The sequence below is a fragment of the Homo sapiens genome, chromosome 10 (assembly GCF_000001405.40).
Source record: "Homo sapiens chromosome 10, GRCh38.p14 Primary Assembly".
NCBI classification, from domain to species: Eukaryota; Metazoa; Chordata; class Mammalia; order Primates; family Hominidae; genus Homo; species Homo sapiens.
Window position 1 is genome coordinate 43,424,086 of NC_000010.11, and position 12,204 is coordinate 43,436,289.

Consider the following 12,204-nt stretch of genomic DNA (forward strand, 5'->3'; position numbering starts at 1 on the left):
TTTTTGTATTTTCAGTAGGGATGGGGTTTCACCATGTTGGCCAGGATGGTCTTTATCTCTTGACCTCACGATCCGCCTGCCTTGGCCTCCCAAAGTGCTGGGATTACAGACATGAGCACCGCACCTGGCTAATTTTGGAATTTTTTACAAAAAAACTAGATTTTGTTTCTGCTGCCACAAATATTAATTATTCCTACTCAAAAGCCTGGCAGCTGTCTGCCCACTGCTGTGTAGAACATATTTATGTGATCACTACTTCGCATGGTAACTCTGAGAGATGGGTGGTTTTATCTCTCGGAGGGACTTGTCCAATGTCATAGAAATACATTATACAGCCAGACTTGATTGTACAAGGCCCAGATATGCATGGATTTCGCTTACCATGGTTTTGTTAAGTAACATCAGTCTCCCAACAACAGGGTTCAAATATCAGTTACTACAGTATGTTAAGTATGAGCAATTACATAAAATATAAACTTCGTTGCCAGCTCGTCAGTGCACAAAGCACTGTGAATAACAAATGTACATGATCAGTGACAAGTTGCGTAATTTCTTTGAAAGTCTGTTATTTCGTTCACTCATGCACAGAAAGGCATGTGGTTGTGTTGCTTCTTGTCTCCCACCATACCGGGCCTCTTGGTAGGTTTTTACAAAGAAAACTAATTCTCAATATTTCTTTCTTTCTCTTTTCTTTTCTTTTTTTTATTGTTGTTGTTGGGGGATGGAGTCTCACTCTGTCACCCAGGCTGGAGTGCAATAGTGTAATCTCAGCTCACTGCAAACTCCGCCTCCCGGTTCCAAGTGATTCTCCTGTCTCAGCCTCCCAAGTAGCTGAGACTACAGGCGCCCACCACCACACCTGGCTAATTTTTGTATTTTTAGTAGAGACAGGGTTTCACCATGTTGACCAGGCTGGTCTCAAACTCCTGACCTCAGGTGATTTGCCCAACTTGGCCTCCCAAAGTGCTGGGATTGTAAGTGTGAGCCACTGCGCCTGGCCTCAATATTTCTAATGTATTAAATTACATAGTACCAGATAAATATTAGTTTTACTATTTTCATTTCCCTGTACATTTCAAACTGAAAGAGTTTTTAATGTTTTGGCAAAAAATTTTGAAAGTCACAGAACAATCATAATTTTTCTCATTGATCATTAAGATTGCTTTGCATGGTATCAGCTTGTATGCTCACTTTTACAGTCTTACACTACTTTGTACTTATGGTATGGTACTTATAGTACTTTTTACTGGGCAAAGCAAGGAGACACACACATGCATACACACATAGCAAATAAATCAGTCTGGCTTGAGAGGAAGATGGTTAGAATAGGACTCAGGCACAGTGGGTTTCTGTGCAGCTATTCACCATTTAGGCAACTTTTCCAAAGTTGCTTAGCTTAGCTTCCCTGGGATAAGTTTTCTGGACAGCAAAATAATGGGTCTTTTTTTTTTTTTGAGACAGAGTCTCGCTCTGTCGCCCAGGCTGGAGTGCAGTGGCACCATCTCGGCTCACTGCAAGCTCCGCCTCCTGGGTTCACACCATTCTCCTGCCTCAGCCTCCTGAGTAGCTGGGACTACAGGCGCCCGCCACCACGCCCAGCTAATTTTTTGTATTTTTAGTAGAGATGAGGTTTCACCCTGTTAGCCAGGATGGTCTCAATCACCTGACCTCGAGATCTGCCCACCTCAGCCTCCCAAAGTGCTGGGATTACAGGCGTGAGCCACCGCGCCCAGCTATAACGGGTCTTAACTGGGACTCTTTCTCTTCTATCCCAGCCAGTCTCACTTCTGCCAGCCAGGCCTAACTTTCATCCCTTAAGAGAGAGAGGGCCACTTGATTCAATATACAACGAAGTAATGAATACTGAATCTATAAGTAAGTCTACCGATATCTGTAAAAGCAGTGAAAAGCAATTTGGTTTCCTAAAAATGTTAACTATAAATATTATTTCCTATCAGTTTGCTGATTTCCTGTAAGTTGGCTGACTTAGCCACAAAGTTAGTTTTCATTCATCTTGACCACACCTGACAGGTCTGTTTCCATGGCTGGGATCCTCTCCCCATGGTTCTTTCTGGTGCTGAAATGCACTTGGGCAACCATGCCCCTTAAATGTGCCTTTATGGGTTAGATGTGGTGGCTCATGTCTGTAATTCCAGCACTTTGGGAGGCTAAAGCAGGAGAATTACTTGAGGTCAGCTGGAGACCAGCCTGGGCAACATAGTGAGACCCCCCTCCCCCTCAATCTCTTTAAAAAAATGTTTTTGGCCGGACACGGTGACTCATGCCTATAATCCCAGCACTTTGGGAGGCCGAGGCAGATGGATCACCTGAGGTTGGGAGTTTGAGACCAGCCTGGCCAACATGGAAAAACCCCCGACTCTACTAAAAATACAAGATTAGCCAGGTGTGGTGGCGCTTGCCTGTAATCCCAGCTACTCAGCAGGCTGAGGCAGGGGAATCGCTTGAACCCAGGAGACAGAGGTTGCAGTGAGCCGAGATGGCGCCATTGCACTCCAGCATGGGCAACCTGAGTGAGACCCTGCCTCAAAAAAAAACAAAAAAAAAAACAAAAAAAAACGGCCAGTCATGGTGGCTTACGCCTGTAATCTCACCACTTTGGGAGGCCAAGGCGGGTGGATCACCTGAGGTCAGGAGTTTAAGACTAGCCTAACCAACATGGTGAAACTCTGTCTCTACTAAAAATACAAAAATTAGCCGGGTGTGGTGGCGGGCGCCTGTAATCCCAGCTACTTGGGAGGCTGAGGCAAAAGAATCGCTTGAACCCGGGAGGTGGAGGAGGTTGCAGTGAGCTGAGATCATGCCATTGCACTCCAGCCTGGACGGCAGCCTGAGACTATCTCAAAAAAAAAAAAAAGAAAAAAAAAAAGAAAAAGAAAATACATGTAGGCCGGGCATGGTGGCTGACGCCTGTAATCCCAGCATTTTGGGAGGCCGACGTGGGCCTATCACTTGAATTCAGTAGTTTGAAACCAGCCTGGCCAACCAATAGTGAAACCCTGTCTCTAATAAAAATTTAAAAATAAGCCAGGCATGGTGGTGCGTGCCTGGAGTCCCAGTTACTTGGGAGGCTGAGGCAGGAGAATCACTAGAACCCAGCAGGGAGGCTGAGGGAGCAGAATCACTAGAATCCAGGAGGCGGAGGTTGCAGTGGGCTGAAATCACACCACTGCACTCCAGCTTGGGTGACAGAGGAGACTGTCTCAAAAAAAAAAAAAAAAAAGAAACCAAAACCAAAAAAACCACAAAATACATGTGAACATGTGCTCACTTCAGCAGCATATATAGTAAGATTAAAATGCACATGAACTCTTACGGAAAAAATATTTCTAGTAGTCAGCAAATACTGAAAATTTATTGAGCTCTGTGCCTGATGGTATAGAAGTTAAGAAGAATTAAACTGTTCTGTCCTTGCTTTTATTTATTTTTTAACGTGTTGGATACCAGCATCCTTGCTTTTTTTTTTTTTGAGACAGAGTCTCGCTCTATCGCCCGGGCTGGAGTGCAGTGGTGCGATGTTGGCTCATTGCAACCTCCGCCTCCTGGGTTCACGTGATTCTTCTGACTCAGCCTCCTGAGTAGCTGGGATTACAGGCATGCACCACCATGACCAGATAATTTTTTATATTTTTAGTAGAGACAGGGGTTCACCATGCTGGCCAGGCTGGTCTCAAACTCCTGACCTCGTGATCTGCCCGCCTCGGCCTTCCAAAGTGCTGGGATTACAGGCGTGAGCCACCGCGCCTGGCCAGCATCCTTGCTTTTTAGAGCGCTTACTGCCAAGCTGAGGGATAAGTCAGATATTATACGTTTTCAGAAAAGAAGACACATGCAGGAGCTGCATGTAATTGGAAACAAACAGAATATTTGAGAATTGAAAAGTTTGATTAAATCACACAGCAATGAAATATAAAGACTAATATAAAAATAGCACATTTCCAATCAATCCTTATCTGAAATAAATGTATATTGTGCACCTGTTAGGAACCCTATACTGTACTAAAAACTAAATTAAAACCAACCACATTAAGCCCTTGAAGCAAAGTCAGAGCAAACCCTCCTGAAGCCTATGGAGCAGCGCTCCTTCACCCTCCGTTTCAGATATCAAGTCCCTGTGCTGTTCATAAATGAGACAACCTTACAATAAGCTGCTTTCAATTCATAGACATTGGGTCAGTGCCTTTGGTGTGAAGTCATCCATGTTAGGGTACAATTTCATGAGTCGACAAACGGAGTTAGAGTAAGCTCCCTATGCCTCCATTCTGAGAAATTTTGCATCCACAGAGTAAAAGTCGATGGATAGCATATTAGGAGGCTGCATTTTTCTTCTATACTTTTTTTTTTTTTAGACAGAGTCTCACTCTGTTGCCTAGCCTGGAGTGCAGTGACGCAATGTTGGATCACTGTAACCTCTGCCTTCTGGGTTCAAGCGATTCTACTGCCGCAGCCTCCTGAGTAGCTGGGATTATAGGCATGTGCCACCACGCCTGGCTAATTTTTGTATTTTTAGTAAAGTTGGGGTTTTACCATGTTGGCCAGGCTGGTCTCGAACTCCTGACCTCAAGTGATCCACTCACCTCAGCCTCCCAGAATGTTGGGATTACAGGCATGAGCCACTGCGCCCGGCCTCTTCTATACATATTAGTAAAACTCCCACAGCATACTGCAGCATATTGTGAAATAACAGAATAATAAGCAAGGCTTGTCAGATAAAGGGGTTCCAACCCTTCAGGGTAAGTCAAGAAAGGCAGTACCTTAGCATACAGACTGAGCAACAGGTCAGGTTTAAGATAGGACTTCCATTGTTCTGTCTCAGACTAGAGCTCATTGTATGATACAGGGGCCATTTAGCCATGAAAAGTTGTTGAGCACCTGAAATGTGGTTAGTTTGGCCAGGCGCGGTGGCTCACGTCTATAATCCCAGCACTTTGGGAGGCCAAGGCTGGCGGATGACGTGATCAGGTGATCGAGACCATCCTGGCTAACATGGTGAAACCATGTCTCTACTAAAAATACAAAAAATTAGCCAGGCGTGGTGTCACGCACCTGTAGTCCCAGCTACTCGGGAGGCTGAGGCCGGAGAATCACTTGAACCCGGGAGGCAGCGGTTGCAGTGAGCCGAGATCGCACCACTGCACTCCAGCCTGGGTGAAAGAGCGAGATTCTGTCGCGAAAAAAAAAAGAAATGTGGTTAGTGCCACTGAGAGGCTGACTTTTTATTTTATTGTATTGTATTATTTTTTGAGCCAGGGTCTTGCTTTGTCTGTAATCCCAGCACTTTGGAAGGCTGGGGTGGGTGGATCACCTGAGGTTGGGAGTTCGAGACCAGCTTGGTCAACATGGTGAAACCCCGTCTCTATTACAAATACAAAAATGAGCCAGGTGTGGTGGCATGCGCCTGTAATCCCAACTACTAGGGAGCCTGAGGCAGGAGAACTGCTTGAACCCAGGAGGCAGCGGTTGCAGTGAGCCAAGATGGTGCCACTGCACTCCAGCCTGGGCAACACAGCAAGACTCCGTCTCAGAAAGAAAAACAACAATAAACTCCACTGTATGTATATACCACATTTTGTTCATCCATTCATCTAACCAGTGGACACTTGACTCACCTCTATCTTTTGACTATTGTAAATAATGCTGCTATGAAGATGAACATACAATATCTGAGTTTCTGCTTTGAATTCTTTTGCATATATACCCAAAAGTGGTACTGCTGGATCGTATGTATGGTAATTCTGTTTCCTGAGGATCTGCCAGAACTCTTTTCCATAGTGCTGCACCATTTTACATTTCTATCAACAGTACATAGAGCTGACATTTCTTCATGTCCTTGCCTTAAATTTAAAAACAAATACTCATTCAGTTATTAGAAGACTTTTTTTTTTCCTTTTGAGACAAGAGTTTTGCTCTTGTTGCCCAGGCTGGAGTGCAATGGCATGATCTCGGCTCACTGCAACCTCTGCCTCATGGGTTCAAGTGATTCTCCTGCCTCAGCTTCCTTAGTAGCTGGGATTACAGGTGCCCACCACCACGCCCAGCTAATTTTTTTGTATTTTTAATAGAGACAGGGTTTCACTATGTTGGCCAGGCTGGTCTCGAACTCCTGATCTCAGGCAATCCACCCGCCTCGGCCTCCCAAAGTGCTGGGATTACAGGCATGAGCCACTGCGCCCGGCCTAGAAGACTTTTAAGTATGTTTAGAACAACTTGGGTATGTGAATCTACTTTTTCAACTATTATTTTATTTTATTTTTGAGACAGAGTGTTGCTTTGTCGCCAGGCTGGAGTGCAGTGGCCTGATCTCGGCTCACTGCAATCTCCACCTCCAAGGTTCAAGCGATTATCCTGCCTCACCTTCCTGAGTAGCTGGGACTGCAGGCACCCACCACCATGTCCAGCTAATTTTTGTATTTTTAGTAGAGACGGGGTTTCACCATATTGGCCAGGAAGGTCTCGATCTCTTGACCTCGTGATCTGCCCGCTTCGGCCTCCCAAAGTGCTGGGATTACAGGCTTGAGCCACTGCACCCAGCGTCAACTATTATTTTTATGGATTCTAAATAAAAATTAAGTATACCCAGGAAGATATAGCATATGCATTGAGATGTGCTGTAATACCAGGTTTCAAAGACAATACAGAAAAAAAGAATGTCAAATGTCTCATGGATAACTTTATTAATCACATGTGAAATATAATAGTTTGGATATATTGAATCAAATAAAATATTAACATTAATTTCACCCGTTTCTTTTTACTTTTATAAATGCAGCTAGTAGCAATTTTTTTTTTTTTTTGAGACAGAGTCCTGCTCTGTCGCCCAGGCTAGAGTGCAGTGGCGCGGTCTCGGCTCACCACAACCTCCGCCTCCTGGGTTCAAGCAATTCTCCTGCCCCAGCCTACGGAGTAGCTGGGATTACAGGCATGCGCCACCATGCCTGGCTAATTTTATATTTTTAGTAGAGACAGGGTTTCTCCATGTCAGTCAGGCTAGTCTTGAACTCCTGACCTCAGAGGATCCACCCACCTCTGCCTCCTACAGTGCTGGGATTACAGGCGTGAACCACTGTGCCTGGCTGGCTTATGTATTTCTATATTCTATTCTACAGCACTGCTACAGAGGTAGCCTCCACTCATACCACATAATTATGAAAGCCATCAGATTCTGGAAGACAGACTCCAAGCTGCAATTGCTGTAAGTCAAGTAATCCCTCTTCTCCCTCTTTTCTGCCCTTAACATGCACATTTATTTTCCTTTTATTATTGGATTCCCTGAATGGAAACATCTGTCCACTATTACTGCAGAAGGCTGGGCTGTCCCATGGTGACTGTCTGGTGTCCAGGCTTGAGTACCCTATTTTCTGTTTTGTTGGTTGTCCTGTACAGTGTTGATTAATTTCTGTGTCTGGGGAAGTCTAGGAGTAGGGGATGGGGCTGGGTGATGCTGACAACACCAAGAAAAGCTCAGGAGATGTGTCAATGTGTTTGCAGAGTCTAAAGAGATACCTTCCTTCCTTCTCTTTTGATTTGACAATGCCGCCTTACCAAAACTTTTCCTGTTCCTCCTGCAGATTTGTGGGTTTTATTTTTTATAGAGACAGGGTCCCACTGTGTTGCCCAGGCTGGTCTCAAACTCCTGGGCTTAATTGATCCTCCTGCCTCAGCCTCCCAAAGTGCTAGGATTATAGGTGTAAGCCACCACACTCAGCCACATTTGGGGTTTTAAATTTAATTTTATATTTATTTTAATTAATTATTTTGAGATAGAGTCTTACTCTGTTGCCCAGGCTGTAGTGCAGTGGCATGATCATGGCTCACTGTAGCCTCAACGTCCTGGGCTCAGGTGATCTTTCCACCTCAGCCTCCTGAGTAGCTGGGACCACCAGCACTTGCTACCACACCTAGCTAATTTTTTTGTATGTTTTCTGTAGAGACGGGTTTTAGCCATGTTCCCAGCCTGTTTTAGCTTATTAAAAAAAATTTTTTTTTTTTGAGACGGAGTTTTGCTCTTGTTGCCCAGGCTGGAGTGCAGTGGCGTGATCTCAGCAATTCTCTGCCTCAGCTTCTCGATTAGCTGGGATTACAGGTGCCCGCCACCACACCAGGAAAATTTTTGTATTTTTTATAGAGACAGGGTTTCACCATCTTGGCCAGGCTGGTCTTGAACTCCTGACCTCATGATCCACCTGCCTCAGCCTCCCAAAGTGCTGGGATTACAGGCGTGAGCCACCGCACCTGGCCTAAAATTTTTTTTTTTAGAGACAGGGTCTCACTACGTTGCTTAGGCTGGTCTTAAAGTTCCAGGCTCAAATGATTCTCTCACCACAGCCTCCTGAGTAGCTGGGATTACACGCATCAGCCCCTGTGCCTGGCTACATCTGTGGTTCTTTTTTTTTTTTTTTTTTTGAGATGGGGCCTCCCTATGTTGCAATGGCACGATCTCAGCTCACTGCAACATCTGCCTCCCAAGTTCAAGCGATTCTCTCACCTCTGCCTCCCCAGTAGCTGGGACTACAGGCTTGCGCCACTATGCCCAGCTAATTTTTGTATTTTTTTTTTTTTTGAGACAGAGTCTCGCACTGTTGCCTAGGCAGTGGCGTGATCTCGGTTCACTGCAACCTCTGCCTCCCAGGTTCAAGCGATTTTCCCACCTCAGCCTGCCGAGTAGCTGGGATTACAGGCGCCTGCCACCATGCCTGGCTAATTTTTTTTTGTTTTTTGAGGCGGAGTCTTGCTGTGTTGCCCAGGCTGGAGTGCAGTGGCGCAATCTCGGCTCACTGCAAGCTCCGCCTCCCGGGTTCACGCCATTCTCCTGCCTCAGCCTCCCGAGTAGCACTTTGGGAGGCCGAGGTGGGCAGATCACCTGAGGTCAGGAGTTTGAGACTAACCTGGCGAACATGGCAAAACCCCATCTCTACTAAAAATAAAAAAATTAGCTGGGTGCAGTGGCTCGCGTCTGTAATCCCAGCACTTTGGGAGGCCAAAGCAGGAGGATCACTTAAGCTCAGGAGTTCAAGACCAGCCTGGGCAACATGGTGAAACCTTGTCTCTACTAAAAATGCAAAAATGAGCCAGGCGTGGTGGTGTGTGCCTGTAGTCCCAGCTACTTGGGAGGATGAGGCAGGAGAATCGCTTGAACCTGGGAGGCAGAGGTTGCAGTGAGTCAAGATCACACCCCAGCACTCTAGCCTGGACAACATAGCAAGACTCAGTGTCCAAAAAAAAAAAAAAAAAAAGAAATGTTTGTTTTGGCCAGATGCAGTGGCTCACAGCTGTAATCCCAGCACTTTGGGAGGCCAATGCAGGAGGAGGATCACTTGAGCCCAGGAGTTAGAGACCAGCCTAGGTAACATAGCAAGTCTGTGTCTCTCCAAAAAAATTTAAAAATCAGCTGGGTGTGGCTAGGAACGGTGGCTCAACCCTGTAATCCCAGCACTTTGGGAGGCCAAGAAGGACAGATCATGAGGTCAGGAGTTTGAGACCAGTCTGGCCAACATAGTGAAACCCCCTCTCTACTAAAAACACAAAAAGTTAGCCGGGTGTGGTGGTGTGCGCCTGTAATCCCAACTACTCCGGAGGCTGAAGCAGGAGAATCCCGTGAACCTGGGAGGTGGAGGTTGCAGTGAGCCGAGATCGCACCATTGCACTCCAGCCCGGGAGACAGTGCGAGACACCATCTCAAAAAAAAAAAAAAAAAAAAATCAGCTGGGTGTGGTGGTGACCCCCTGTCGTCCCAGCTACCGGGAGGCTGAGAGGCTGAGGTGGGAAGATTGCTTGAGCTGTCAAGGCTGCAGCGAGCTGAGATCCTGCCACTGCACTCCTGGCTAGGGGATGGTGCAAGACCCTGTCTCAAAGAGTTAAAAAAAAAAAGAAAGAAAAATTTATTTTGATTTTTCATTAGAGTATAGGCTCTGAAGTTTCATTTGTGCATATGAGTTACGTATCCTTCATATATAAGTGTATCTATATTTGCCGTGTCTACCAGTCAGACTACAAAAGGCATACATATGGTGGAATGATGATTTGCTATTTCAGTGAATGCATATATTCCTCACTGTGAACTAGTTATTATTTGGGGCTGTTAGTTGCTGCAATGAGACATCACACCTCTGAAACCATGGGGTGTCTTAGGAGACTTGTTAGAGGGCTTGTTATACCATTTGGACTTGTGGCTGGTGATTTTGGGGAGGGTCCAAGGACAGGGGTGTGTTTTGGATTGGTGCTGTACTAACAGGGGCAACTCAAAGATTATTATTATTTTTTTTTTTGAGATGGAGTCTCGCTTTTTCACCCAAGCTGGAGTGCAGTGGCGCGATCTCGGCTCACTGCAGGCTCCGCCCCGCGGGGTTCACGCCATTCTCCTGCCTCAGCCTCCCGAGTAGCTGGGACTACAGGCGCCCGCCACCTCGCCCGGCTAATTTTTTGTATTTTTAGTAGAGACGGGGTTTCACCGTGTTAGCCAGGATGGTCTCGATTTCCTGACCTCGTGATCCGCCCGCCTCGGCCTCCCAAAGTGCTGGGATTACAGGCGTGAGCCACCGCGCCCGGCCACTCAAAGATTATTTCAACAATTTTAGGTGGGGCGCGGTGGCTCATGCCTGTAATCCCAGCACTCTGGGAGGCCGAGGCAGGCGATCACTTGAGGTCAGGAGTTTGAGACCAGCCTGGCCAACCTGGTGAAACCCCATCTCTACTAGGTGGCAGGTGCCTGTAATCCCAGCTATTCGAGAGGCTGAGACAGGAGAATTGCTTGAACCTGGGAGGCAGAGGTTGCAGTGAGCCGAAATTGTGCTACTTCACTCCAGCCTGGGCGACAGAGCAAGACTCCTTCTCAAAAAAAAAAAAAAAAAATTTTTTTTAAATCCAGAAAGCAGGAGGAATAGAGAGGAGCTAAAGCTGTCATTGGAGAAAAAGCAGTAATTACTCATGCTAGCTGAAGAAGGGATGTTTATTCTTCTGTGTGTGTGGTTGCGCAGTGCCAGTTTTTATTTATGCAGGCAAGATCACTGATCGGAATTATTTTCTCCTTCCCTCAGTCACAGAAAGAACTCGTCTGATATCAATTTTCTGTGAACCTGTTTATGTTCATCAAGTAATCCAGGCCAGCTACCGTGGGTCTCAGGGCTTTTTTTTTTTTTTTTTTTTTTTTTTGGGACAGAGTCTCGCTCTTGTTGCCCAGGCTGGAGTGCAATGGCGAGATCTCGGCTCACAGCAACCTCTGCCTCCCGGGTGCAAGCTATTCTCCTGCCTCAGCCTCCCGAATAACTGGGATCACAGGCATGTGCCACCACACCCAGCTAATTTTGAATTTTTAGTAGAGTTGGAGTTTCACCATGTAGGCCAGACTGATCTTAAACTCCTGATCTCAGGTGATCCACCCGCCTTGGCCTCCCAATGTGTTAGGATTACAGGCGTAAGCCACCACGCCCGGGCTTTTTATTTTTTTTCTTAATGATGCTGCACCTAATCACATTTAGGTGGCAGGCAAAAGAATATTGCTTAGCTGCTTTGCTACAGAAATGACAACTCTTGGGCAGGGGCGCGGTGGCTCACGCCTGTAATCCTACCACTTTGGGAGGCCGAGGCCAGTGGATCACCTGAGGTCAAGAGTTCGACACCAGGCCGGGCACGGTGGCTCATGCCTGTAATCCCAGCACTTTGGGAGGCCGAGACGGGCGGATCACGAGGTCAGGAGATCAAGACCAACCTGGCTAACACGGTGAAACCCCGTCTCTACTAAAAATACAAAAAATTAGCCGGGCGTGGTGGCGGGCGCCTGTAGTCCCAGCTACTCGGGAGGCTGAGGCAAGACAATGGCGTGACCCTGGGAGGCGGAGCTTGCAGTGAGCTGAGATCGCGCCACTGCACTCCACCCTGGGTGACAGAGCGAGACTCCGTCTCAAAAAAAAAAAAAAAAAAAAAAAAAAAGAGTTCGACACCAGCCTGGCCAAAATGGTGAAACCCCATCTCTACTAAAAACAAAAAAAATTAACCGGGCGTGGTGGCGGACGACTGTAATCCCAGCTACTCGGGAGCCTGAGGTAGGAGAATCACTTGAACTCGGGAGGCGGAGGTTGCAGTGAGCCAAGATCGCGCCACTGCACTCCAGCCTGGGCAACAAGAGCGAAACTTCGTCTCCAAAAAAAAAAAAAAAAAAAAGGACAACTTTTGATCCCTGAGGCTGCTAAT